Source organism: Homo sapiens, chromosome 11 (genome assembly GCF_000001405.40).
Source record: "Homo sapiens chromosome 11, GRCh38.p14 Primary Assembly".
NCBI lineage: Eukaryota > Metazoa > Chordata > Mammalia > Primates > Hominidae > Homo > Homo sapiens.
The window spans coordinates 120202877-120230338 of NC_000011.10; the positions used below are offsets into that span (position 1 = coordinate 120202877).

The 27462-nt window shown below is 53.6% G+C and overlaps 1 protein-coding gene across 1 annotated transcript, besides 8 other annotated features; it reads left to right on the forward strand.

The window, feature by feature from the left end:
- Positions 6909-7450: an enhancer, noted in NCBI's record as "H3K4me1 hESC enhancer chr11:120080493-120081034 (GRCh37/hg19 assembly coordinates)". NCBI's record gives its function as "activates a minimal SCP1, AML or CMV promoter by ChIP-STARR-seq in primed H9 embryonic stem cells {active_cell/tissue: H9 hESC(primed)}" and the evidence as "EXISTENCE:reporter gene assay evidence [ECO:0000049][PMID:30033119]".
- Positions 7784-8043: a silencer, noted in NCBI's record as "silent region_3986". NCBI's record gives its function as "represses an Ori minimal core promoter by ATAC-STARR-seq in GM12878 lymphoblastoid cells {active_cell/tissue: GM12878}" and the evidence as "EXISTENCE:reporter gene assay evidence [ECO:0000049][PMID:35858748]".
- On the forward strand, positions 8156-27458 carry OAF (out at first homolog). The gene is made up of 4 exons (NM_178507.4): positions 8156-8634; positions 22785-22919; positions 23940-24120; positions 25992-27458. The coding sequence occupies exons 1-4, from the start codon at positions 8404-8406 to the stop codon at positions 26264-26266; spliced, it is 822 nt and encodes a 273-aa protein (NP_848602.1). The 5' UTR covers positions 8156-8403; the 3' UTR covers positions 26267-27458.
- Positions 8224-8273: a silencer, noted in NCBI's record as "silent region_3987". NCBI's record gives its function as "represses an Ori minimal core promoter by ATAC-STARR-seq in GM12878 lymphoblastoid cells {active_cell/tissue: GM12878}" and the evidence as "EXISTENCE:reporter gene assay evidence [ECO:0000049][PMID:35858748]".
- Positions 8364-8473: a silencer, noted in NCBI's record as "silent region_3988". NCBI's record gives its function as "represses an Ori minimal core promoter by ATAC-STARR-seq in GM12878 lymphoblastoid cells {active_cell/tissue: GM12878}" and the evidence as "EXISTENCE:reporter gene assay evidence [ECO:0000049][PMID:35858748]".
- Positions 14763-15346: an enhancer, noted in NCBI's record as "H3K4me1 hESC enhancer chr11:120088347-120088930 (GRCh37/hg19 assembly coordinates)". NCBI's record gives its function as "activates a minimal SCP1, AML or CMV promoter by ChIP-STARR-seq in naive H9 embryonic stem cells {active_cell/tissue: H9 hESC(naive)}" and the evidence as "EXISTENCE:reporter gene assay evidence [ECO:0000049][PMID:30033119]".
- Positions 15163-15307: an enhancer, noted in NCBI's record as "145 bp enhancer 139 fragment used in the MPRA reporter construct; PK_construct_1855". NCBI's record gives its function as "activates an SV40 promoter by MPRA in HepG2 cells {active_cell/tissue: HepG2}" and the evidence as "EXISTENCE:reporter gene assay evidence [ECO:0000049][PMID:23512712]".
- Positions 15228-15241: a transcriptional cis regulatory region, noted in NCBI's record as "HNF4 motif; enhancer activity is reduced when this motif is scrambled". NCBI's record gives its function as "necessary for full MPRA enhancer 139 activity {active_cell/tissue: HepG2}" and the evidence as "EXISTENCE:site-directed mutagenesis evidence [ECO:0005528][PMID:23512712]".
- Positions 17834-18333: an enhancer, noted in NCBI's record as "H3K4me1 hESC enhancer chr11:120091419-120091918 (GRCh37/hg19 assembly coordinates)". NCBI's record gives its function as "activates a minimal SCP1, AML or CMV promoter by ChIP-STARR-seq in primed H9 embryonic stem cells {active_cell/tissue: H9 hESC(primed)}" and the evidence as "EXISTENCE:reporter gene assay evidence [ECO:0000049][PMID:30033119]".
- Positions 27459-27462: the final 4 nt, after the last annotated feature.

Sequence of the window (27462 nt, forward strand, 5' to 3'; positions counted from 1 at the left end):
AATTGCTTGAATCCAGAAGGCAGAGGTTGCAGTGAGCTGAGATCGTGCCACTGCACTCCAGCCTGGGCGACAGAGCAAGACTCTGTCTCGAAAAAACAAAAAAAGAATGATGTGTGGACTGTGTCAATATGTGGAAATGCATGTAGGAAATAATATTAAGAAAAGCAGGACAGGAAACACAGGGCATGCAGCGATAACTTCATAAAAACCACAATGCTCAGAAGATAATCTGAAATCAATATTGATCAGGTTTTATTTTCTCTCCAGTGGCCTAACACGATTACATGCACTTTTTAATGGCATGGATAGGTGGAACGTGGGATTTTTAGCATAGTGAAACCCTCTGTATGATACTGTAATGGTGGATACATTTGTCAAAACCCATCAAATATACAGAACCAAGAATGGAACCCTCATGTACACTGTGTACTTTGGTTGATTACAAAGTGTCACTACAAGTTCATTGATTGTAACAAACATAGCCCTCCGGCAGGGATGCTGATGGTGAAGAGTATGAATACATAGGGGCCAAGGGTATATGGGAACGCTGTACTTTCCACTCGATTTTGCTGTGACTCCTAAAACGGTTAAAAATAAAAAAGTCTGTTTTAAAAATGTTTAAGCTCCATTAGGATGTTAATTGGAAATGCACTAAATGTATATATTTTTATCACATTTTTCTCGATAAACATAGTATCTTTCCATTTGTTCGGAAAAATGAAAGATCTTTTTTTAAAAAGTCATGATAGTGAGGGTGGCTCTGAGATCCCCAGTTCAGGAGAGGGCAATGTTCCCTTTTCCACTGGATAAGAAACTAGGCCCTGAGCCTCCCTCCCTGGATAATGCTAGAACCTTCTTAGACTCTCTAGCCTAAGCCTTGATGATACCATCAGTCAGATGGAAGCCAGATGTTCTGATAAGGGGGCCCATAGCAACTGTGACAGGAAAAGGGAGACAAGCTGATGGCTCTGGTCAGAAATGGCCCCTGTCCAGGCTCAACTTTGTTCACACTCAGCCCCCTGATGAAAAAGCAGGATGTCCCATCCCAAGCTGTAACACGCACATTTTTCAAGAGCAATAAAATACCAGGCTAAAAATCCAACTGATTTTTTAAAGTAATAAATTTCTGGCCGGGCGCGGTGACTCATGCCTGTAATCCCAGCACTTTGGGAGGCCAAGGCGGGTGGATCACGAGGTCAGGAGATCGAGACCATCCTGGCTAACACGGTGAAATCCCGTCTGTACTAAAAATCCAAAAAATTAGCCGGGCGTGGTGGCGGGCGCCTGTAGTCCCAGCTACTCGGGAGGCTGAGGCAGGAGAATGGCATGAACCCGGGAGGCAGAGCTTGCAGTGAGCTGAGATCGCGCCCCTGCACTCCAGCCTGGGCGACAGAGCGAGACTCCATCTCAAAAAAAAAAAAAAAAAAAGTAATAAATTTTCTCGGGGATTTGCATAAAGGAAAGGGTGTTTACCCATTAAAATGTAATCAACACAAGGCACACAAACCCTGCCAGATCCCATCTTCTTGCCGCAGGCGTACAGTCTAAGGTCTCTGTGGCTGAAGGCAGCGACGCTCCAGACCAGTGAACAAGACCTCTCTTCTCTAAAGCCTCCCTGAGTGTGCCCTGATGAAGGACTTGCCAGGGCATGACGGGCAAAATGCTCTCAGGGACAGATGTCTGAGTCTCCAGGTAGGAGCAATACTGGCATCTGAAAAGGGCCTGAGGTCTTCCATTATAATGAGGTGGCCCAGCCTGCTCTGGAAGGTCCTGGATCACATGGTCAACAAGATTCTTGAGGGCAGGGACTGTGTCTCAGATTCTCTCTCCCATAGCCCAGTGCCAGGTACACAGGGCTACAGAGATGTCATTATTGAGCACCTTCTGCATACAAAGCACCATGCTGGGCATAAGGTGGACGCAAAGAGGGGCCAGGTTCAGCCTACAAAGACCGTGAGTGAAGGCGGTGACATGGAGCTCTGTGCCATGTCAAAGGAGGAGACGAGCCCTGGCTTCAGAACACCAGGCTTCTAATCTGAGCGGCACCACTTACAGCTGGCCTAGGTTCTTTTGTAGCCTCTGGTTTCAAACACAAATGCTGTGAAATAATTATAGCAAGAGGCAGAGGGTGAAAGGCACCTGAAGAGCTACCATAAAGGCAATCCCAGGGCTTCTCCCCAGCTACCCAACCTTAATTCATGGTGCCACAGCCTACGCAAGCCAGAACCAGGAGTTGCCCTTGACCGCTCCTGCTCACTTGCCCCAGTCCAAAGAAACATCAAATCCTACTCCCCCGTGTTGCTGAATTCCAACCCCTCTCCACACCCCTACTGCCACCACCACCACCCCACTCATCAGCACTACTTGTCATGGCCACAATCCATTTCCTGAGCACAATATTTTTAAAATACAAGTCTGATCATGTCACCCCTTATATAACACCTTTCGATGACTGCCCATTGATCTTAGGAAAACAAAACAAAACCAAGCCCAGTGCTAATATTGCCTCCAAGGCCCTGCGTTTCTTGGGCCCTGCCAAACTGTACTGCATGATTTCAAGCAACTCTTCACCCCCGTCATGCCCTAGCTACCTGGTGATGTTTCTGGGAAGCCCACCAGACTCAGGTCCTGTACACAAGCTGTTTCCTTTGCCTGGAACATTGTCTTTGCTGGTCAATGCTGATTCATCTTTTAAGATTAGGCTACACCTGGAAAAGCCTTCCAAGAAGGCCTCCTGGTCTAGGCTAGACTCTCCTCTAATTCTCCATTATAACAATTATAATTAAAATATTTTGTTTTGCCATGATTTTATAGCCTGCTTCTCTTGCATGTTCCATCTCAGGGTAAATAATTGTTGCATCTGCCTTGTTCCACTGCTGTGCCCACAGCATCTAGTGCAGTGACTCACTCTTCACGTGCTAGATGACTGAATGAACGAGTGAATGCATGAGTCTGGGGGTGGGGAGCAGGGAAGGCCTCATGGAGGAACTAGCATGGAGGAAAAGAGGTTATGTTTGGGACTTTTTTCTGTTTGTTTGTTTTGAGACAGAGTCTTGCTCTATTGCCCAGGCTAGAGTGCAGTGGCATGATCTTGGCTCACTACAACCTCCGTCACCTAGGTTTAAGCAGTCCTCCTGCCTCAGCCTCTTGAGTAGCTGGGACTACAGGCACACGCCACCATGCCCAGTTAATTTTTGTATTTTTATTAGAAACGGAGTTTCACCATATTGGCCAGGCTGGTCTCGTACTCCTGACCTCCTGATCTGCCTGCCTCGGCCTCCCAAAGTTCTGGGATTACAGGCGTGAGCCATCGTGCCCAGCTATGTTTGGGACTTTCAAGAGTCAATGGGCAACATGGAGCTCTGTGCCGTGTCAAAGGAGGAGACAAGCCCTGGCTTCAGAATGCCAGGCTTCTAATCTGAGCAGCACCACTTACAGCTGGCCTAGGTTCTTTTGTAGCCTCTGGTTTCAAACACAAATACTGTGAAATAATTATAGCAAGAGGCAGAGGGTAAAAGGCACCTGAAGAGCTACCATAATCAATGGACTAATCAATGGACTGAGATCTGCCTTGGCTTGCAGCTCTGATCATCCAGGCTTCCTTTTCCTTCCTGAAAGTCATGGATCCAGCCCACCTCCATGACAACTTCCCTTCTGCCTGGTTTTTCTGCCCGAAAAGAATAGCTTCTCCATGCCTATCCCAGCCATCTCCACTTCTCTTCCCTTTCCACTCAGTATCCCCACCAGCTGTCTCTCCAATCCACTTTCCCACCACACCCTTGATGGATGGAACTGCATAATTGTGTGATGGCGGAAAGCTAATTTGTACTTCTGTGCTGGCAATGAAGTGTCTGGAGCTTTGCAATTGACATTGAGAAGCAGAGGGGATCCCTCACTCCATCCCTGGTTCTCCCTCAAACTCAAATCGCAAATCCTCCACTCTATCTGCAAAGGCCCAGAGACAAAGGGGCTGTAACCTAACCCAAACCAAACAGCCACTCACAGAAAGTCATGGGAAGAAAAAAATCTTTCCAGTCTTGCAAAGACAAGCACCTGGTGGTTCTCTCCCTGTCTCTCGGTAAAGGTCATTGGTTCAGTTTCCCTTTCCACCTCCTGCAGGGTCTTGTCAGCACCTGTTTTCTTGGGCACAGATTGGGAGATGGTTTGGTGTTTCTCTTCCTCCCAAATTAAGGCACACTCAGACCAAAAAGCAAAGGGAAAGTGCCTCCCGAGGTTTTGCTGCTATCCATTTCTCAGTTTCGGAGGTCTCAAGACACAGAAAACTTAGACACCTAAAGAGGATAGAGAGGAAGAAATATTTCTTTTTTATGTATTTATTTTTTTCTTTGAGACCAACTCGCTCTGTTACCCAGGCTGGAATGCAGTGGCACGATCTCAGCTCACTGCAGCCTCTGCCTCCTGGGTTCAAGCGATTCTCGTGCCTCAGTCGCCGGAGTAGCTGGGATTACAGGCGCCCACCACCACACCCGGCTAATTTTTGTATTTTAGTAGAGACGGGTTTTGCCATGTTGGCCAGGCTGGTCTCGAACTACTGACCTCAGGTGATCCACCCGCCTCGGCATCCCAAAGTGTTGGGATTACAGGTGTGAGCCACCGCGCCCAGCCAAAAAAATGTTTCTGAAAGAATATGTGTACATGCACGCGTATACATGTGGCAGGGGGTGAGAGGGAGAGACTTGTATAATCAGAGATTTAGTATGTGATACAATGGGAAAGAATAAACAGAATTAAAGGATAACAGCCACCATTTATTGGATCTGTACTATATGCCAAACATGTTGCGAAATATTTTATGCACAATGTTTCATTTAATTTTCAAAGCAACCCAGTGAGGGAGAAACGTATGCGCCCATTTTACAGTTGAAGAAACAGGCTCACTGACGCACAGCTCATGACTGGGGCCGAGCTCCAGGACTGAGATCCTGATGCCCATTTTCTGAACCACTACTGGCTACTGCTTTCCAAGGGCTAGAGATGAGAAAAAAAAGGAAATTGGTTTATGGTGTGGCAGAGGTCTTGCGATGAGACATGAAGAACTCTCTGACAATGAGGGCTGTTTGGTTGTAGTCGGAGTAATTAGGCTTGTTAGAGCTCTTCCTCTGACGGCCTTTACATTTAAGATGAATGGATGCTTCTATGCCCGGATGGTTTGAGGGAAACGCTGTCTGTTCCCAGCACGGGGCTGGCCTGTTTGAACTAGCTGACGGCTTCACTGGGGATACAGGATTGCCACACGCGAAACCGTTAGATAACAGGAGAAGATAGCGCAGGATGTGAGCCCCGAGTGGGACTGGCAGAAAGTGAGGGCTACCGACAGGCAGAGGCTACTGTGGTTCAAAGCAAGGGCTTTGTGGTCAGGCGGGCAGACTTGTGTTTGAGTCCCGGCTGGCTCTACTGCTTTTGTGACCTTGGGTATGTTGCCTAACCTCTCTAAGCTTTGGTTTCCTAGTCAGTAAAAAGAGCCTAAGAATAGAACCTACTTTGGAGGGATGCCATGAAAATTAAATAAGATGATCCATGTAAAATGCTTGGCACAGAACCTGGACATAATCAAAATACAATGGGGGAGGAGCTGCTATAATAATGACTATTGTTGGAGTCCAGAGGCCGGAGACAGTGGCACAGAACAGAGGGCTAGGTCGGTGGGGAGTCGAGAAAGTCTTCCTGGGAAACCTGAGTTTTGTCCTGGAGCTTGAAGAGGTGGTCAGGTGAAATCAATAGCAAGGCATAGAGATGTAGGTAGGCAGGGCTTATGTAATGGAGTGAGATTTCAAATGCCCTATCACTTTCAAAGAAAAATCTGGTTTGATCTGTGGTTGAAGTAGAGAAGGAAGTTGACTATGGGGAAGAGGTGGGAAAGAGATGAGGTCTTCCATCCTTGTTTCCAAACCCAAAATGTGAACAGAGACAAACCTCAGGGACCTAAACAAGAAATCTGACATCCAGGGCTTCTTTGCCCACTTCTGGGCTGTTGTGGGAGGAGAAGGGGTAAGAGCCTGGGAAATGGCTGAGGGCAGAGCTGGTGGCGGATGGGGACAGGACCTGAAACAAGGGAAGTTAGGAAATGTGGGCGAGGCCCTTAATGACTGTGTGGGCTGACTCATGTGGGAGACCTAGCTTCAAGGCCGCATGGAGATCCAGCATCCTGTCAGGCGGGAGGCCAATTTCAAGACCCTGGGCATCTCTAGTCTAAACGGTTGCCAGCTAAGAGTGGGAGTCCTTAGGGGAGCAATCCTTGTGCTAATCCAATTATTCCCTAACAGCCTGCCTTATCTCCCGGATGTGAAGATGAACTCCTTAGGAGCCAGGTTCTCCAGGAAGGATGCTGCTTGTTTCAGATGCTCTATGTTTTTGTTTTGTTTTGTTTTGTTTTGTTTTGTAGAGACGGAGTCTTCCTCTGTCACCCAGGCTGGAGTGCAGTGGCGCAATTTTGGCTCGCTGCAACTTCTGCCTCCTGGGTTCAAGCAATTCTCCTACCCCAGCCTCCCGAGTAGCTGGGATTACAGGCGCACGCCGCCACACCCAGCTAATTTCTTTTGTATTTTAGTAGAGACGGGATTTCACCTTGTTGCCCAGGTTGGTCTCGAACTCCTGAGCTCAGGCAATCCGCCCGCCTCGGCCTCCCAAAGTGCTAGGATTACAGGCATGAGCCACCGCGTCTGGCCCAGACGCTCTATGCTTAAACATCTGCCAAATACCTGCTGTCAACCACTTATGTCGAGCATCATGTGGGCCTTGTCAAAAATGCTAATCCTCAGTTCTTTTCCCTAGAATCTGATTCCATGGGTTTAGGGATTCGGGAATCTATTTTCTAACAAGCATCCAGGTGATTCTTCAGGAAAGGCAAATTTGGAAAAGGCTGACTTGGTAGTCTCTTAAATTCCCTTCAGTCCTAAATCTAGGCAGCAGAGAGCGGGTAGCGGGAAGGGCCCCTGGATGATAGCAAGAGGCCGATTCTAGCCGGACCCTGCAGTTCACATGGCCCTGTGCTGGGGAAGCCCTAGAAGGGAAGGAGGCTGCAGAGAAGGGAGTTTTCACCCATCAGTAATCAAGGTCCCAACAGAAGTGAAAATGGAAGTCAGGGAACAATTGGTTTTGAGCATCTTCGTGGGGCTTTTTCCCTTGCCTGGGACTGGCAGGACAGTGTAGGTCTGAGCAGCTTCCACGATACACACGGGGACACTTAAGCCCAAAGAATTTTTAAAACGTGCCTAAATTCCACAACTAATCAGAGGAGGCAGCAATCCAGATCTCCTGGTCTTCACCCTTCTTATTGTTGGGGTGCACCGCAGGGCACGCATGTTTCCTTGTGGCTTGTGGGAAAGCCACTGTCGTGGAGCGCCAGCGTCCCGAGTCCCTGGAAATTCTCCCAAGTGACCTGGAATCCAACATTTCCCTGGATTTTCATAGTCTATAATAGAGAGAAAGAACCGGGTCTGCGGTGGTGGGCAGGACTGAGGAAAGGCCGTGAATGCGGGAAGCACGGGAGGCAGGACTGAAAAGGAAAGAGGCACAGGGGCTCACAAAACCTGAGGGCCGCGTCCCAGTGGGTGACCTGACCCATCAAGGTCTAACACCTGGCCGTGGCAAAGCTGGGCGAGAACCCCCGATCCACCCTCCCAGTGTGGGGCAGGGAAAAGGCAGAGTGCAAAGCGAGGTCTGATTTTGCAGAAGCTTTTTAGAAATTCGCTGTCAGAGAAACTGAAAGACCAAACAAAACCCCTAAAAATCCAAGCCCGATTATTTCATCCACGTGGCACAAAAGCAAGCCAAAAAAAAAAAAGCGGGGGGGGGGGGTGGCGGTGCAGGGCGGGGGAAGAGTCACCCGTCCTGCCCCTGCTGGAAGGAAGGGATTTGCCCCGGGAGAGCAAACTTCTGACTCCGCCTGGGTCGCTGACTCCGCGCGGCCGGGCGGGAGGGAGGTCGAGGAGGCCGCTCGCACAAAGCCGCGGAGCCGCTGCCCCCTCTCCCCGCCCCCTGCCCGGCCAACGCCGAAGTGCGGAGAGCAGCCGCGGGCCCTTTAAGGGCCGCGAGGTGCGCGGTCTCTTTAAGGCGGGTCCTGGTGGTTTCTGTTTTCTGAAGGAAGTGACGGGGGGTGGGATTGAATGAAAAGTGCAAAACACAGGCTCGCAGCGCTGGAGCCCGGGGCCGCGGAGCCGGGCCGGGGCAGCGCCGTCTCCGCCTCGGGGCCGCCGGGGGCGCCCTGCTGAGCGCTACCCACGTGCGTCCGCGCCACCTCGCGGGCGACCCCGCGGCCAAGGCCCCCGGCGGAGCGGCTCCCGGGCGCCCCGAACTAGCCCCCAACTTTGGGCGAAGTTTGCCTGCGCCTCTCCCCGCCCCCACGCGGCGCGCCGGGGCCGCGGACGGCAGCGGCCCCCGGGGATGCGCCTTCCCGGGGTACCCCTGGCGCGCCCTGCGCTGCTGCTGCTGCTGCCGCTGCTCGCGCCGCTGCTGGGAACGGGTGCGCCGGCCGAGCTGCGGGTCCGCGTGCGGCTGCCGGACGGCCAGGTGACCGAGGAGAGCCTGCAGGCGGACAGCGACGCGGACAGCATCAGCCTCGAGCTGCGCAAGCCCGACGGCACCCTCGTCTCCTTCACCGCCGACTTCAAGAAGGTGAGGCGCCCTCACTCGCCGGGGTGGCACCTTCAAGCCTGAGCCCCCCGGGATCCCAGGCGCTCTCTTGCCTGCAGACGGAAAGACGGGCCCAGGAGGGAGACGCAGCTGGCCCAAGGTCACGCCGGGCTCTTCTCTACACCTCTTTGCCCACTCCCCAGGGCCCACCCCTTCATTCTCTCCAAAGAACCCCTCTGCTTCCCTTTCTCACTCCCTCCTCCAGCGCTCCCAGAGCCCCCCAGGTGCTAACCCTCCTCCAGAACTCCTACTAACGACTGGACTCCCTTCTTGGAGTCATTCCCCTGTGCTCTAGTGGGAAAGTCCTAGGCGAAGTGTTCTCGCTGTGGGCTCTCACTGTGGGTTCTCCCTGTGTGATCTAGAGCAAGCAAGCCTCTTTCCTCCTATGGGCCTGGCTTCTCACCCCTGTACAGGGCACTGAGGGGTCTGCGAGGCCTCCCAGCCCTGACATTTTGGAGTCCCTCTGTCACCTCTCCCTCTGTTTCACTTTTCTGGGGAGAGCTGGTTGCCCCTGGTCCCTCTCAAGCCGGGAGAAGCCCTGTCTCCTCTTTGGTCTGGAAGGCTGGGGCGCTTGCAGCAGGAGGATCCTGGAGAGAGACCCCAGCTGAGGCCCCCTCCCTCTGGGAGAAGTGCTGCCCTTCACTCTGCCTGGCAGAGAAGCGAGCCAACCCCCCTATTTTGGCCCAGATTAGGGTTAGGGAGTTAGAGACCAGCCCGGTGGGTGGGTGGGTGGGTGGGTGTGGGTGTGTGGGTGTGTGTCCCAGATTACGGTTTGGGAGTTAGAGACCAGCCCGCTCTTGGTGTGTGTGTGTCTGTGTTGGAGGGAATAAGAAGGGCCTTGCACCCAGGGGGCTGGGGGATTATCAGGAAATGGGCCTGGATGGTGAGTGACTAACAGTGACCCAGCAGCAGGAAAGCTGGAGGAAAAGAGGGTGGGTAAGTCTTAGGTATTCAAAAGGAGCGTTCTGTCTCCTTCCCCCAGCTAAAGAGAGGCCCTGTGAGGCTCTGTCCCTGGGGGAGTGCAGGGGTGAAGCCGATTAGATAGCTGGGGGAGCCCGGGGCCCCGGGGACCCTTGCTGAAGCTGCCTGTCTTTCCTCCCTCGTAGAGACAGGGCGCTTTAGAGGAGAGGTGGCGGAGTTTGGGAAGTCAGTTAGGGACCCAGCCAGATTGCCATAGTTAGCAGGGGTGAGGGGTTAGGCTTGACCGCTAGAGGTGGGTGGGGTTGGGGGGTGAGGCTTGACCGCTGATTGCCCCAGGGCCACGGAGTTGGCACTGACATTGGACATAAGCAGGCAGATGGGGGGTGGGGTAGTGAGCGTTCACAAATGGGAAGACTTTGTAGCCCATCCTTACTCCGCAGGCCTAAGCTAGGCACCCTGCCTCCCCACCTAAACCCTAGGAGAATTTTATCAAGTGTGTTCTGTTCCTGAAAAATCTATGTTAGTGGCTGGATCCATCAGGAATCGGGGATCTAATCTTCTGTCCAAGCCCTTTGTCCTTGAAAGTTAGCCTTAGGCCAGGCTGTGAGGCTCCCAACCCCCTGCCCACTGGATGTCATCTTGTGGCTGCACTAGAATCCTGCAGAGAGACTTCCCTGGCTGTGGCCAGGACAGTGAAAGGCAATGGGTAGGGCTGAGCTTTTATAGCCTTTAGCTACATCTGGAAGGTTTTTATTGCTGTGATCTGAAGGGAGAGGCTAAGAAGTACCCAGGTAGCTGTGATGTGCTGGCAGTAGTGGCTGATGGCGGGGGTGGGGTGCTGGGGATTGGAGTGAGGGTATGCTGGTCATCTGACTGCCCAGTTAGAAAATGCATCTGGAGATTGTGAGCACCTCATTTGAATCTCTACAGTGGTTCAGACCTCCACCCAGGTTTCTAAAGTCTGATTTTCAGGTTAGCCTCTGACCCAGAAGCTACCATTTCATACCCACCTCTGGCATCTCCAATTTCATCAGCAAGGGAGGGAATTGGGAGTGGAAGACACCGAAAGGAAACCAGCTTTCCCAAGTCCCTTTAACTCCAGGTTTCTCCATTGGCCTAGGACGGGGTGGAGTTGGAGAGTGCAGTGTGGGGGAGAATAGCCTTACCCTCACCCAGGCCACTCACTCACTGCCTGCACTGGCCACAGCAGCTTCTATGTCCAGATCCTTCTAGGGTGGGTCACCTCTCAGTTCTCAAGGCCCCATGCCTCATAGTGTTTGTCAGATTTCCATAAGAAAGTTTGGTCTAGAAGGAATGATTTTTCCTATAAGAAAAAGACTTCGGCTCGGTGTGGTGGCTCACATCTGTAATCCCAGGATTTGGGGAGGCTGAGGCAGGCTTATCGCTTGAAACCAGGAATATGAAATCTTCAGGCCAAACGAGACCCCTGTCTCTACAAAAAATTTAAAAATTAGCGGAGCACGCTGGTGTGTGCCTTGTAGTCCCAGCTATTCAAGGAGGCTGAGGCAGGAAAACCACTTGAGCCCAGGAGCTGAGGCTGCACTGAGCTGCAATTGTACTACTGCACTCCAGCCTGGGAAGTCACGCTTTTTGTGTTTCTTGTACCAAACTCATTTGCAGTGATTTGGGAAAAGTCCTCATCTACTTGGGAAGAGCCTTGTTTGCCATTTGATCACGTTGGGGAGAACAGTCCAGACTGAATGAGACAGACTTGGTTTACCACTTATTAGCAGGTTCACCCTGGGCAAGCTACTTGATCTCTCCAGACCTTCATTTCTTCATCTATAAAATGGGGATAATAATAGCACATATCCCACAGTTAGTAGTGCCTATGACATCCTTACTCTGTATTAGATACTGTGTTAAGGGCTCAAGACATAGGAGCTGTTAGCTTTGCAATTGTGGCTCACACAGCATTTCAGCAAGGATCCTCTCTGCTAAACTTGGACTCAAAGACATTGAACAACGGACCCAAGGTCATGCAGAAAAGTCAGTACTGAGCCTGGAGGATCCTTGAGCTCTTCATCTTAACCTTCTCCTTGAAGTGCCAAAATTGCTGGCCAGCCCCTCAGAGCAGGAGCAGCCATCCTTGTCCTGACAGTCCACCCAGGGCAGCAGTGAGCCTCCCTGTGTGGGATGGGACCAAGGCTTCTGTCTGATTCCCAACCCTATCCAGCCCCCTCTCTCCAGCCCTTCCCACCTGTTTGCCTCTACCCGCGTCAGAGTTCTGACAGTCTAACTCTCTCCCACACTACTGCTCTGGACCTTGACGCAGCAAAGCAGTCACAGTCGTCAACCCACTGGAGGACACATAGCCTGGAGCCCAGGTGAGGCTTGCAGACTCAGTAGCTTGGAGCTATCAGATGGCCATCCTGCATTACTGCAAGCCCTGCCCAGAGGCTGAGTGAAGGCCATCAGGCTGACCGAGCCACAGCTCTGAAAGAATGCCGCAGCTCAGTGGCTCCCAGCTTTGCCGCACCTCACAATCACCTGGGGAGCTTTGAAAATTCCCACTGCCTGGGCTGCACACCCTACCAGTGAAATCAGAATATCTCAGGGTGGGAGTCAGGCAGCAGTCGTTTTGGTTTTGTTTTTTCTTTTAAAGAACCCAGGTGATGTAATCCCAGCACTTTGGGAGGCTGAGGCAGGCGGATCACAAGGTCAGCAGTTCGAGACCAGCCTGGCCAATATGGCGAAACCCCGTCTCTACTAAAAAATAAAAAATAAAAAAAAATTAGCTGGGCATGGTGGCATGCACCTGTAGTCCCAGCCACTCAGGAGGCTGAGGCAGGAGAATCGCTTGAATCCAGGAAGCGGAGGTTGCAGTGAGCCTGGATCGCGCCACTGCACTCCAGTCTGGGTGACAAAAGAACCCAGGTGATTCCAGTGTGCAGCAAAGTTTGGGAACCACTGGCGCAGTTGCTCTAGGGGAGGGGAGGGGACCTGGAGAAGGAGCCAGCTCAGGTTAAATGAGGGTAGGGCCCAAACTCAGTCACATATTTGAAACCTGTCATCTTACCCACACTAATCCTAATGTGTTTTGAGCAGCACATATACTTCGGGCCTAATGCTGTGTGCCCTCAGTACACAAACTAATTCACAGCGCGCCCTTGGTGGGCAACACTCTCCTTTATACTCCACATCCTATGGGTGTAATTAGCCCTGGATGTACATAATCACTGGCATATCTAATCATAGGTGTGTCACCATCCCCTCTCCCTAAACTGGCTATTTGACAGCCCTTCTGGTCTACCTCCTGGAAGCTGGTATTCTTGCCAGTTTCTCTTTCACCTCTGTCCCCTAGTCCGAGTGGCCAAAAGCTGGGAAGAGGATGAGTCACGCTCCAGGCTGCCTGCCTTGGGGCTGACCGGATGGGGAGGGTGATACTGACAGATATGAAGAAGGTCATGTGTGATGGCATCACGGTGGTGGGCGGTGGGGGTCCCTTTCCCCTCCCAGCATCAGGGAGGATAGGGAGACACAGACTCCAAAAGTGTGGAAGGAGGGGATCCTGAAGGCCCACAGCTGGAGCCCTGGAGGGAATAAGCAAGATAAGGGGAACTGTACAGCTGTGTGGGTCAGCTCAGGGCCGCTTCGAAGGGACAAGGACCCATGGAGGATGGAAGCTTGAGCCCTGTCCTGGGCACTGATGAGTGAGTGGGAGCCAGAGGAAGGGATAGTCCAAAGAATGCTAGGGCCCCTGTGCCGGGGGGCCTGGTCTGTGGGTGGGGGAGCAACATGGGAAGCCTTGAGGTGCAGTCAGTAAAGATGTGGAATGTGCAATGTCCACGTTGCCACCTAAGAACGTGTATCCCAAGGAGATATCACAGCACATAGATGTGGGACCGAGAAGCTTTCAGGGCCCAGTCTGCCCCTACCCTGTCTGTGTTAGCACCCTTAAGATTTGGCGTGGAAGCATCTGATGGATGGAAAGTCTCCTTGGGGAGGAAAAGGCAGTGGAGGTGCTTTCGGGAGAGGCCCAGACTTTTCTGGAGCTCAGAGCATTTCCTCACAGGTATTTACAAGAAGTCGCCAGATGGAATGACCAGGCTCACTGACATGGGGCTCCTGGGTCTAATATCTGTCCCTCCTCTGCGTGTGAGGAATTCCTCCTCAGATCAGGATGGCCAGCCCTGCCTGAGGGTTCAGACCCCCTCCCGGGAGCTTGGCCAGCATCTCCCACCCCTGAATGCTATGTCCAGGTGGAGTCCTAGCAAAAGATCCCGGTAGGCCATGAAGACTGCCACCTGGGATAATGGAGGATCCTGCTGGGAAGCTGGTGGGGAGAGTGAGTTAGTTCCCTCCCAGGCTTCCCAAGGCACAGAGAGGTGGTGGAGATAAACTTAGGACAGACTCCTGTTCCGCTGGCGGAGGGCCCAGCCTTGAAGTGAGGATTGCATAGGGTCTGGAGATCACCCATTGAGCAGTCCCTCATGTCACACATGCTCTTATCTGATCGCCTGGAGCTCTCAAGTGAGGCTGACAAGATGAAGCAGCTGATGATCCCAGATTAGGACCCAGGGTTCCTTCCAGTATATCCTGACTGCCTGTCTGCCATGGTACCATGAGTGGGCTCCTTCCAGTAGGCTAAAGAACCCTGGGGAGGGAGGTGGAGGGGAGAAGGAGGCTGGAAAAAACCTTGGTGCAGAGGAACAAATCCACAGAGACCCTCGTTTGTACAGACTTGGGCTGGACCACTTCCCCCACGCTCTTACCTCCAGTGGATGGAGTGTTGGCTACTTGGCCATGCCTGCAACTCCTCTCTCCCCTGCATGGCCTCTTGGGGAGCTGGGTGAGGGGGATGAGTTTGGAAAATATCTCACCAAGGCCAGGTGTGGTGGCTCATGCCTATAATCCCAGCATTTTGGGAGGCCGAGGCAGGCGGATTACTTGAGGCCAGGAGTTCGAGACCAGCCTGATCAACATGGTGAAACCCTGTCCCTACTGAAAATACAAAAATTAGCCAGGCATGGTGGTGTGTGCCTATAATTTCAGCTACTCTGGAGGCTGAGGCGGGAGAATCACTTGAACCGGGGAGGCAGAGGTTGCAGTGAGCCGAGATCACGCCGTTGCACTCCAGCCTGGGCAACAGAGTGAGACTCCATCTCAAAAAAAAAGAAAAGAAAATATCTCACAGACACTAGTGAGCAATCACTATGTACGTTTTTTCCTGCCACTTACCCACTGTGTGACTTGGCAAGTCACTTAACCTCTCTGAGCCCCAGGCTCCTTGCCGGTACACCAGAGACAACAGTGTGATGCTTGGGGTTCAGTGTGCGCAGTGACTAAGAGGCCCTTCGCAGAACAGAGGCCCGCGTGGGCATGTGAGGAGTGAGGTGCCAGTGCCCGCTTGGATGTCCGTCTACCCCACCGTTAAGCATGTTGCTGCAGCTGCTGCTTTTCTGCTGTAGGGACCAAAGCATCATGAGGAGCTAACATCCTTGAAGTTGGCAAGTGTTGAAGTGGCTGCCACTAGGGATTCAGATAAAGGGCAGGGAGAGGCATCAGGGCTGGGAGTGCGGGTGAGAGGGAAGCATGGAGACCCGTCTCAGGAGCACTGAGTCAGCAGCACAGTGGGGCGCAGTTGATCCACATAAAGCCTCACATTGTTCCTGCAGCAGTCAGGACAGTGGTGACCTTTGGGATTCGGCTGACAGAGCACTGCTCTGGGGAGGGGCTGGGGGCAGGAGCACTGCTCTGGGGAGGGGCTGGGGGCAGGAGCACTGCTCTGGGTGAGTGGTTGTGCTAATGCCCCAAGACAAGCAGCCTCTGTCCAGGCCTAGCCCTGAGGGGATGCTGGCATCTCATCATGGGGCGGCCTAGGTCCCTGGGCACTGGCCTCGGGATGTGCGTGGCCTGGCTCTGGGTGGAATCCATCCACCCCGTTCCTGCTCGAGAAGCCTGGGCAGAGCAGCCAGGGTGCTTCCAGCTTTGCCGTGGGGCTAGGAAGGCACTGCTTCCTGGCTGGCTCTGCAGGCTAAACCCCCTCTCCCCTCCCCAGCCCAGCGAAGCCAGCCACTTCTCTAGCCATAAAGCAGCCCCAGCCAGGAGCAGAGGAATAAATATTTAGATTGGCTCAGCCTGGGCCCCAGAATCATGCTCTCTGGTGTGACAGGAAGGAGACCAAGATGGCAGAGGACACTCCCAGGAGAGAGCGCCAGCTGTCCAGGAGCAAGAGGGTTGGAAGAATGGGAGGGGGCCAAGTGGCTTGTGTGGCCCTAGAGCGATGACCTGCAGCCTGGGCCATGACCAGCACTGGACAGTGGTGGCTGGAAGCAGGGTGTGGAGGGAAGGGGCAGTCTGCTGCCCTGGCCCCCTTTGCTTTCCATTCTCCTGCAGGCGGGCCTCCCCCCAAACCCCAGGGCTTTCTGGGGAGGGGCTGAGGAAGAGCGCCTGGAGAGTGGGGCCAGCTAGGGACCGTGATGGGAAGGCAGGGTGCCAGAGGAGACCGGGCAGGCTGGAGCAAGGTGATGACATGCGGTAAGAGTGTGTGCCTGCACATGCACGCATGTACACGTGTGTGTGTGTGTGTACACACGTTATGAGAAGTGGCATCGGGAGGAGGCGTGTGAGGAGAATCGAGCAAGTGAGGAGGGTGATGCGGGGTGTGCCCTGACGCTGGGCATGAGATGGGGAATTCACAGGGGGGGTGGGCGTGGGGACTGCGGAGAGGGGTGTGATGAGACGGTGGGGAGCCGCCTCTGCCGGCAACAGGGAGACTGAGGGAGGAGACAGGCCCAGATGCACCCCTGTGGAGGGAATGGGAATGTGGAACAGGAGCCACTGGGAGACCTTGCGGGAAGGAGACTGAGACCCAGCTTGTCTGTGAAAGAGGACGGTGTGCGCGAATGGGGAAGCCGTGTGAGCCTGTGCATCAGTTGAGATTAGGCTCAGCCGTGAGCAACATAAACCCCCAGGAACAGCGGCTGAGGCCGTGGCAAAACAGCCTGTTTCATTCTTCCCAGTGTTATCTGAGTCTGGAAGCCAGTCAGGGCTGGTGTGACAGCCCCGCTATCCCCTGGGATCCAGGGGCTCCCTCCCCACCCTCAGTGCTGAGCACAGGATGTCTGCCCAGGGGTGCTCTGCCGTCTCTCAGCGCATTCCCCCAGTGCAGCTGAACCAGAGCAGCCTTCCCTCTGGAGACACAGGTGGATCCCAGTCAGACAGCATGGCTGGGATGGGCACAGGGAGGAATTGAGTATCTGGACAAGGGCTACGGAGGGGAGCCAGGACAAGCATGAAGATCACTGGACTCAGAGTCAGGAGGTCTAGGCTTCTGGCCCTGGCTCTGCCACTGTGTGACTCATGAAGGTTACTTCCCTGCTGGAACCTCACTGGGCCATGAACTAGATGATCCCCTAAACCTTCTAGATGCCAAAATAGCAGCTGTAGCACTATCAGCCTGCAGGAGCCCAGCTGCAGGCAAGGCCGAGAAGAAAGAGTGTCTGCACATTGGAGGCCAGTGGGTTGATGGAGGCCCTAGAGCATTCATTCGTTCCTCCAGCTACTAAGCATTGAGCCCCAGCTGTGCGACAGACCCCAGGGTCACCATGTGAATAGGCTAGAGTCGCTGCTCTTGAGCCAGAGGCAGGTCACAGAGGGCTTGGATGACTAACTGCCTGGGCAGAAGGTGCTCCATGAGGACAGAGACCATCTGACTGGGGCACTGAGATCCAAGGCACTCTCACAACCTCAGGCAGAGTCTGATTCAGCTCCAAACCACAGGTCCCTCATGTCACCCCAGGCTCAAACCCACCAGTGACTTCCAGAGAGGCACAAGAGGAAGCCTCCCACTCCTCAGCCTGGTTCAGACCCTGCGTCCTGCTTGTGTCCTGACCCCTTGCCAGCCTCATCAGCACTCACGACCCTTCCCCTCCTCCCCTAGTACATTCCCACCGCTTTTCTCAGAGAACTCTTCCATGCTGTTGTTCATTCACCCTTCATGTATTCCTTATCAGATGTTTATTGAGCACCTGCTGTGTTCCAGGGGGCAGGGATGCACTTCAAGCAAGCCACTTTTCCTGGCTCAAGAAGTTGAGTCTGGAAAGAAAGACAAGTAAAGAGGTCAGCAAAAACACAGTGGGAGTAAACAGTGGGATTTGTGCTCTAGAGGCAGCGACTGGGATTGGCCAACTCTGCAGAAGGGCTGGTGAGGGCAGCACTGGGAGGGCAGTCAGAGGAGGGTCGTTTGTGAGCTGTGCCCTGCACACAAGGCACAGCTGAGACAGCTGAGCACAGGGCATCCCGGCAGAAGAACCTGCTCACAGAAAGGCCTAGGGGTGACACAGCATCGCTCATTCTGGGAACTACAAGCTCTCCGGTTCAGTGCATGGGAAGTGCAACAGTTGCTGTGAGCAGGGACCTGGGATGCCAGGCTCTGGGGTTAGGCTTTCTGGTGAGGACAAAGGGAGCCCTTGAAGGGCATTCGGCCACTCGGGTGATAGTAGCATGGAGGGATGATTGGGTGGGGGCACTGGGAGACTCATGCCTGGCTGTCTTCTGTAAATGCCTCATTGCTGGAAAGCCCTCCATCCTTTAACTGTCAAGGGCCAATGAGGAGTCCCTCACTGTGCGAAGTCTTCCCTCCCTCATGCCACCCCCAGCCCCAACCTTAAGGGGACAACGAGCACTCCCTCATCCACCCTTTACCTCCATTGCACTTGGAGTAAACCTCAATCCTAGGCCTATTGTTTGCTGACTTGAGTTGTCAGAAGTCAGCCTCCTCCACCATCCCCTGGAAAACAGGAATCTGTGTCTTGGCCAAGGCCACTCCCCTGCCCAGGTGTTTGTGAAGGCCCTGCCCCATGTCCTGCTAATCAGTGCTCTCCCACTGATTGGCTGATTACTTGCAAGCCCCAGAGGAGTCACCTGACCTGTCTAGGCCATAGGTACATCTAGAAGAGAACAATCTCAACTCCTGGGTCTTCAGGAGTGGAGTAGATTTCAGGTGGAGCAAGGCAGACATAGAGCCAGGAATTGCAGCCACAAGAGAGAAACTGAAAGTTCAGCCCACTGTGTTCTGAAACCTTTCACTCATTTATTCCCTGCAACAGTCCCTTGAGGTAGATACTATCATTTTATTCAGCTTGCCAATGTGGAAACTATGGTACAGAGAGGTTAAGTAAATCCCTTCAAGGTTATGTGGCCAGCAGAGGCAAAGCCAGGATCTGAACATGGGTAACACTGGCTCCAGAGCCTTTGTTCTTAAATTCTGTGCTATCCTAGAGCCTACCTACTCCTTACTTAAAACTACAGACGAGGACCCTAGCAAACACTATTTCCCCAGGGTACTTGCCACACCCTCTGCGTGGCCCAGATCCTGGCCCTGGATGTAGTATGCTCCAGTTCTTCCAGGTAGGCTGGAGATTCCTGGAAGCTTGTGGGAGAAGGAGCCTTATAACAACCTCCCGTCTTGGGGACCCTATCCTGGGTCCTGAGCCTCAGGAGCCTGCCTGCAGTCCCTGTTGTAGGCTCTTCCCCAGCTAAGCATCTGCTTTAGGTGTTAGGCCACATGAAGTACGTCATCCCAACAGATTCCTGGGCAAGGAGGAAGGCTGGGAGTCAGGCTTCCATCTGGCCTGGGCTTAGCATCTGAGGGGACTTTCACCCTTCCCTGTGAAGGTTGGAAGAAGAGGGGGCCCCAGAACCTTGCCAGGGAGTCTGAGGTGCAAGGAGTGGAAAGCGGGAGGGACACTGGTCAGGATGATGGAGTCCTGTTACCAAATAGACCCAGAAAGTAGGGCTGCCCACTCCTTCTCAGGGATCAGCAAGTGGAATGTGCTTTTCTGGGGAAATAGGACGAAAGGGCCGGGCGCAGTGGCTCACACCTGTAATCCCAGCACTTTGGGAGGCCAAGGCAGGCGGATCACCTGAGGTCAGGAGTTCGATACCAGCCTGGGCAACCTGGTGAAACCCAGTCTTTACAAAATACAAAAATTAGCCGGGCATGGTGGCACATGCCTGTAATCCCAGCTACTCCAGAGGCTGAGGCCGGAGAATTGCTTGAGCCTGGGAGGCGGAAGTTGCAGTGAGCCGAGATTGCACCACTGCACTCCAGCCTGGGTGACGGAATAAGACTCGGTCTCCAAAAGAAAAAAAAAAAAACAACCATGCACACAAAGGAGAGACCGGAGAATTTGTAGTTTAAAAAGTCCTGGCAGAGGCCGGGTGCAGTGGCTCACGCCTGTAATCCCAACACTTTGGGAGGCCGAGGCAGGCAGATCACAAGCTTAGGAGATCAAGACCATCCTGGCCAACATGGAGAAACCCTGTCTCTACTAAAAATACAAAAATTAGCTGGGTGTGGTGGCCCATGCCTGTAGTCCCAGCTACTCAGGAGGCTGAGGCAGGAGAATCGCTTGAACCCGGTAGGTGGAGGTTGCAGTGAGCCGAGATCGCGCCATTGCACTCCACCCTGGTGACAGAGTGAGACTCTGTCTCAAAAAACAAAACAAAACAAAAAACAAAAAAAGAAGTCCTGGCAGGGCAGGCAGGCGGGTTAGAAGGGTATTCCTGCCTCCTCTTCTCTTATTTGTGTCATGCTGTTTGGTAGTTGCAGGAACCACGAGCCAGAGCCGCCACATTCGAAGGCAGGTGTGCTGACTTAAGGCAGGCTGCCGCCAGATGGGCATGATGGGGAGCGGGTCCTAATCCCACCTCTGCTGCTGGCCAGCTCAGGCATCAAGGGCAGACCGCACAACCTCTGTGTGCCCGAGTTCCAGCTTCTTTAGCTGAGCATCAAGGAGATGAGACTAGCTGATCCAGGAGGCAATTATGGATTCTGGTTAAGAGAGCTCAGGCTTTGAAGTCAGACTGTCTGGATTAAGATCCTGGCTATGTTTCCTCTTAGTCCATGACGTTGAACAGGTTACCTAATCCAAGCTCGGTAACAATCATAGCTCCTACCGCCTGTTGTAAGGATTTTAAAAAGGATCATACATCCTTTTGACCCATGGAAACAATGTTTTTTCTCTTCTAGTTACAAATTTCAGTAACTCTTTTTCCTATACAAATAGGAGATACAGAGGAAATCCTCTCAGTGAGAAATTATCATTCCCTTCCTGCACCCCCTGTCAGTTCCCATTTTGACAGCATTTTGTTATTGTCATTGATGACATTATTAATATAGAAGCAGGAAAAAAGCTCAAATAGATTTCTTTCATCCTCTAGTCTGGTCTGAAAGTTCAAATACCTTCTTTTGCCAACGGTAGTCAGGTGATGTCACCAAGCAAAGAGACCCCTGAGCAGCCCTGAGACTTCCGGATATTTCCTGCACCTGCGGTATTGGAGAAGATGCTGTGAATATCCAGATAGGCTTCTCTCCAAAGAGTCAGAGCTGAAAATACCAGGGAAGTGGTTTTTGGATCCTTCCTGGGGGATCCTGCCAGGGACATGGCCTGGCTCAAGCTCTAGCAGGGGAAGTCTGGTATCAAGTCTCACCTGGCAGGAATTGAGCCCAGAATGGAATATGCTACAGGCAGAGCAGCCTCCCATCTCTCCTCAGCCGACCTGAGTGAGGGGAAGATCAGATAGCCCAGGCTGGCAGGACAAGGAGATTGCAGCACCATGACCAAGAAGGGATTTCCTGTTGAGAGGAAGCAGGGGTTGGCTGAGCTCTGATCACCTTCTTCACAAATCTCTGGGATCATAAGGAACCTAATGGAACCTTCCTCAACAGCTGAGCCTCAGTTTCCCTTTCTGGAAAACCTCCCCCTATACTTCCATACCTCATCGTTCCAGAGATGATTTACAATAATGGCAAGTAAGAGAAACTCTGTAGAGTTAAAGGACTGCAGAAATACATGGGCATTTATGAGATGACATGCACTCGTTTGTTGCAGACCACCTACGATGCTTGCTGGTCACCTACAAGAGTAATCCCAGCTAGCGCTGACCCCATGTGAGAATCTTCAGATAACTTACTTAGTCCTCACCACAACCCTGTCACATAACTGGGATCATCCCCATTTTACACATCAGAGAAATTAGGGGAAAGCCTGGAGGACTCACTAATACATTGCAGCTTCGGGGCGGAGCTGTGAGTCCCTTGCCGCATGTATTGGACTCCAAGGGGGCCACTCAGAGCCTGTTGCTGAGACACTTCTGTTCTCGCGGGTGTACAGCAAGTACTCAGTGACTGTGTGGTGGGGGGAGCTGGGGCCCGGGCATTAATAGATGATCCACAGAGCTGTCATTCTAAGTCTCAGTGCAGAGCCATAGGGGTTCCCAGCAGAGAATGGTCACTGAGGTCAGGGTGCCTCCACCACAGGAGGGGCCTTGACAGATGTAGACCACTTCTGACTGGGACCCACTAACTTCTCACTGGGAGCAGAGTTAATCAAGTCACAGAGATGGGTAAGAAGGCAAGGGGCCACTTCTCATGTGGTGAGCGGTACAGGTGAGCAGAGCACAGGGCTCCAGCAGCCGGATAGGGAAGGGGGCCCCAGCCCACCCTACAGCTCTACTCCCTCCATCCTGCTGCAGACCCCCCATTCACACAGTGAGTCAGTAACAGGAAGGAGCCCTTGGACTGCGGCAATGCCATTAGCGACCCCATGGGGGAAAGGGGAAGTGGGGAGGGAAAGGAAGAGGCGAGGCATCCTAGCTCCCTCAGGCCGGAAGGCTGCAACAGCTGCAGCCAGCCTCCCACTCTGCCCTCACCCCGTCCCGGCCCCACCACTCCACTCACTCAGTGGTCGGTGGCCAGGAGCCTGGCCAATCAGAAGCACCAAGGGCATCTTGAGACCTCTCCCCAGATCTACTGAATAAGAATGTCTAAGATTTCTAGCCATTACAACTACAAAGAAAAAAAAAAAAGAGGAACTCTGGAATCGGTACTGGAAAAGTCCAGCCCTCCTCCATGATGCCCTGATCAGGTGCCTGTAGAGGCCCTGACCCACCCTGATCAGGGTGACGTTAAGGGGTTCTGCCGAGAGGAATCATCAGCTGGGAAAAACTCTAGTGGTTCACTTTGTCAGTTTTCCAGGATCTTTGGAACATCTGGGGTGTGTTCTTTCTTTCAAGTCACGGGTTTAAACGGAAAAGATAAAAATTCCTAGACCAGCAGGAGGGAGGTGTCTGTTGCCCGGCAGTGTCCAGGCATCCTGTTCAGGGGCCAAGCTGAGCACCCGGTGGGCCAGTGGGAAGGTCCCACACCCTCCAGCCGTTCCCATCCTCCTGCCCTTCTTCAGGATGTGAAGGTCTTCCGGGCCCTGATCCTGGGGGAGCTGGAGAAGGGGCAGAGTCAGTTCCAGGCCCTCTGCTTTGTCACCCAGCTGCAGCACAATGAGATCATCCCCAGTGAGGCCATGGCCAAGCTCCGGCAGGTAAGTGCCCCACCAGGCCTGCCTGGCCCAGGTCCTGACCCGCAGCAGACCCGGCCCAGATCCCATCCCGCAGACCCGGCCCAGATCCTGACCTGCAGACCCGACCCCTGCAGCCAGCCTAGCTCTAAGCTCTGATTCCCCAACCTTAGCCTCCCACCCAGCTCCTCATCTTCACGCTGTTCCTGGACCCACTGCCCTTGACCTGCCCTCATCCCTGGTACCCCATTCACCCTAGAGTCCTGAGCCCCTGATTTTGCCCCAGGCCAAACCTGACCCTAGAGCTGCAGATCACTAACTGAACCCCAACTCTCAGATTTCTCCCATCTGGTTCCAGCACCTCCCCGTGTGTGACAGGCTAGGGGCTTGGGCTCTGAGGTCAGATCAGACATCACATCTCCTCCGTCACTCATTAGTTGGGTGACATTGGACAAGTTACCTTCAAAGCCACAATTTTCTCACTGAAACTGGGTTATGGGGGAATTCAGTGAGCAAACATATGTGAAGTGTTCAAGACCCTCAAAGCTGCCGGCCTGCTCCTGCTGTCTTCTTAGACCCAGGGCCTTGCCCCAGCCTCATCTGAGTTCCCTGGCCTGCCCAGCAGAGCCTGCCCTGGGGGCCTCCTCGCCCCTGCGCTTTGCCTGCTTTCCCAAAGGGACTTGGTTCCCTGGATGTTGGAAAGTACGTGATTCCAGAGGTCATATGCCCTGGCACAGCTTGCCTGGCCCACCCACCTCCACCTCCCATCCACACCTCAGCATTCTCCATCAAGCCCCAGAGGTCAGCCCAGTGGCCAGCACATAGTTTGGGAAGCATCCATTCTGGATAGAGGCTGAAAAGGCTCGACTGTACTCTAGGCATCAGCTTCACTGCCAGTTGGAGAGGGGTGGGGCTGCCACCCTGCAGATGGCCCCAGCGTTCTAAAGGCAGTCAGCTTGGGCTCGCCTGACTCTGGAGGGTCAGGGGAAGATGGACAGGGAGCATTCTGAAGCCAGGTAGGAGTGACTTCTCTCCCACACACAGAAAAATCCCCGGGCAGTGCGGCAGGCGGAGGAGGTTCGGGGTCTGGAGCATCTGCACATGGATGTCGCTGTCAACTTCAGCCAGGGGGCCCTGCTGAGCCCCCATCTCCACAACGTGTGTGCCGAGGCCGTGGATGCCATCTACACCCGCCAGGAGGATGTCCGGTTCTGGCTGGAGCAAGGTCAGCTGGGAGCTGGGCACTGCCCGCTGCTGGGCGGAGGGAAGGGGACAGGGAGACAGCACAGAGCAGTGGAGGAGGGCAGGGGCATCATTAGTTGAGTCTCATCATTAGCCAAGTCTCATCATTAGCCTTTCCTTTGTTCAGGAGACATTTACTGAACACCTACAGAGATGTACTGGCGCAGGAATCAGAGATGTAGACACTCAGTTCCTGTCCCCCAGCAGGGTAGATCTGCACAGAGTTAAGTGTGATAGAATACCATGATAGCTACAGGCGTTCAGGGAGGGACCCCCAAACCAGGCTACAGTTGGTCTGGGAAGGCTTCCTGGAGGAAATGGAGCCTGTGTGATTATTCAGCGAGAAGATTCAGCCAGAGGAAAGGGCCCTGCTCCAGGCAGGGCACACAGACTCTGCTAGGCCCTGTGGAGGGAGATTCCCAGGTACTTCCCCTTGTCCCTGCCCTTAGTGAGGACACAGAGATGGGGCCTTCTGTCATGGGTGTGGGGCACAAGGACACCCTGCCCCCCTCCACTGACACCTCTCAGATATCAGCTTCAGGCCCTCCCTGGTGCCAGCATCTCTGCCCCAAGATCCTTGGAAGCTCCTCTCCATACTGCATGGTCCCTGCCTTCCTGACCTCTGTGACTTCAGCGCTGACCCCTCTCTGGGTACCTTTTCCAGGACCGCCCTCAGGTCCCCTGTGTGGAGGGGAGAGGGAAATGGCGCCATTCCAACTCTGAGCCCCTGTGCCTTCTGCCAGCCAACTGAGCACTGGTGAAATGCCTGCTCCTCCCAGGGCAGGCCCAGATTTAGAAATACCCAACCAAGCTGTGGTCTTGCCCCCCACACACATACACCCTCCCCCATGGCCTGCACCCCAGACTATGCCGCAAGCTTGACATAAGTGTCCTCCAGAAGCTGGCCCCTCCCATACAGCCCCTGAGCCTAATCAGGCCGGTACCTTCCGTCTCCTCCAGCGCCCCAATATGCACACTTTCCCATTTGATCCAAGCCCTGGCCACCCTGACCTGACCTGCCCCACTGTGGGTGTGCTTTGCTGGCCCTTCTCTGCCTAGCCCTACTCAGATGTCACTTTTTTTTTTTTGAGATAAAGTCTCACTGTTGTCCCCCAGGCTGGAGTGCAATGGCACGATCTCGGCTCACTGCAACCTCCGCCACCCGGGTTCCAGCAATTCTCCTGCCTCAGCCTCCAGGATAGCTGAGATTATAGGTGCCCGCCACTGTGCCCAGCTAATTTTTGTGCTTTTAGTAGAAACAAGGTTTCACCGTGTTGGCCAGGCTGGTCTCAAACTCCTGGCCTCAGGTGATCCACCTGCCTCAGACTCCTAAAGTGGGATTACAGGCATGAGCCACTGTGCCCGGCCAGATGTCACCTTTTTTAAGAAGCCTTCCTTGACTTCCAACCTTGTCTCCCCACGCCTCTATCTCAGCACACTCCGGTATGGTGATTTTTTAAAGCATTGGGTGGCAGTGTGGTCTAGTGGAGGCCTTGAAACCTTGGCCAGATCATTAAACTCTGGGTCGATGTTCTCATCACTAAAACAGGGATGACGATACTTAGCCCATGGGGTGACTGATGGAGGTACTGTAAGTAGAGCCCGTAGCACACAGTTGATGCCATAGAGGAGGGTGATTCCTATTTAATCTGTTTCTCCCACGAGCCCAGCAAGGAGGAGCCTAGTAACCAGGTCTTACCTCTGTGTCCCATGGCAAGCTTGGAAATGGAGGTGTCTGTAAATGCCTGTGGGATGACAGAGGAGACCAAGTGGGGAATGGCAGCGGCCTCTGACTAGGGGAGCTCCTTCCCTCCCTCCCTCCCTCCCTCCCTGATCCTTGCCTCTCTCCCCCAGGTGTGGACAGTTCTGTGTTCGAGGCTCTGCCCAAGGCCTCAGAGCAGGCGGAGCTGCCTCGCTGCAGGCAGGTGGGGGACCACGGGAAGCCCTGCGTCTGCCGCTATGGCCTGAGCCTGGCCTGGTACCCCTGCATGCTCAAGTACTGCCACAGCCGCGACCGGCCCACGCCCTACAAGTGTGGCATCCGCAGCTGCCAGAAGAGCTACAGCTTCGACTTCTACGTGCCCCAGAGGCAGCTGTGTCTCTGGGATGAGGATCCCTACCCAGGCTAGGGTGGGAGCAACCTGGCGGGTGGCTGCTCTGGGCCCACTGCTCTTCACCAGCCACTAGAGGGGGTGGCAACCCCCACCTGAGGCCTTATTTCCCTCCCTCCCCACTCCCCTGGCCCTAGAGCCTGGGCCCCTCTGGCCCCATCTCACATGACTGTGAAGGGGGTGTGGCATGGCAGGGGGTCTCATGAAGGCACCCCCATTCCCACCCTGTGCCTTCCTTGCGGGCAGAGAGGGAGAGAAGGGCTCCCCAGATCTACACCCCTCCCTCCTGCATCTCCCCTGGAGTGTTCACTTGCAAGCTGCCAAAACATGATGGCCTCTGGTTGTTCTGTTGAACTCCTTGAACGTTTAGACCCTAAAAGGAGTCTATACCTGGACACCCACCTCCCCAGACACAACTCCCTTCCCCATGCACACATCTGGAAGGAGCTGGCCCCTCAGTCCCTTCCTACTCCCCAACAAGGGGCTCACTATCCCCAAAGAAGGAGCTGTTGGGGACCCACGACGCAGCCCCTGTACTGGATTACAGCATATTCTCATCTCTGGCCCCGAGGCTGCCTGTGGGGCGAGTGGAGACCTCCCATCACTGAGACAGATCACAGACCACGAGTGCCTTTCCCGGACCTGGACGTTGCCTCCAGAGCAGGCACCAGCTCTTTCCCTCTCTACACAGAAATATTTTTGTAAGGTTCTGGGGCAGGGAGGGAGCATGAAGTACGAGGAAAACTTGAATTCCAGATTTTTAGTGCAAAGTATTTATCATTTCTACCAGAAATAAACGTTTTAAGTTTTTACTTGACTAATGAGACCCAGAGTTTGGAGAAAACTTTTGGCCAATGCTGCCACCTGATGTCAGAAAGTGTCCCCACACCCTAGCAGTGGCCTATCTTGGAACAAGAACTTCGAAAGCACCTACTGTGTGCTCAGCCATTTGAGGAAGGAAGGAGGAGAAGGAAGATGTTACTAGGGAAGGATGAGATAAAACTTCTGCACCCAAGACAATGAGACAGACATAGCTGCAACCGTAGTAAGCCAGTCAGAAATAGCCAGCGCGAAGGCAAGAGATGGGGTGGAGATTGGAACCCCGCTTCAGATCTGGGCTCGGCTACTTACCTGCTGTGCAGCCATGGGTCAAGTTGCTTGACCTCTCTGTGCCTCCACTCCCTTAGCTATAAAATGAGCTTACTTAAGAGACC

Bases quoted from the DNA above. Each gene is read 5' to 3' on its own strand.
- OAF (NM_178507.4), top strand. From the start codon at position 8,404: ATGCGCCTTCCCGGGGTACCCCTGGCGCGCCCTGCGCTGCTGCTGCTG. The intron at 8,635-22,784 runs GTGAGGCGCCCT...GCCCTTCTTCAG, and splicing joins TCACCGCCGACTTCAAGAAG to GATGTGAAGGTCTTCCGGGC. The intron at 22,920-23,939 runs GTAAGTGCCCCA...TCCCACACACAG, and splicing joins CCATGGCCAAGCTCCGGCAG to AAAAATCCCCGGGCAGTGCG.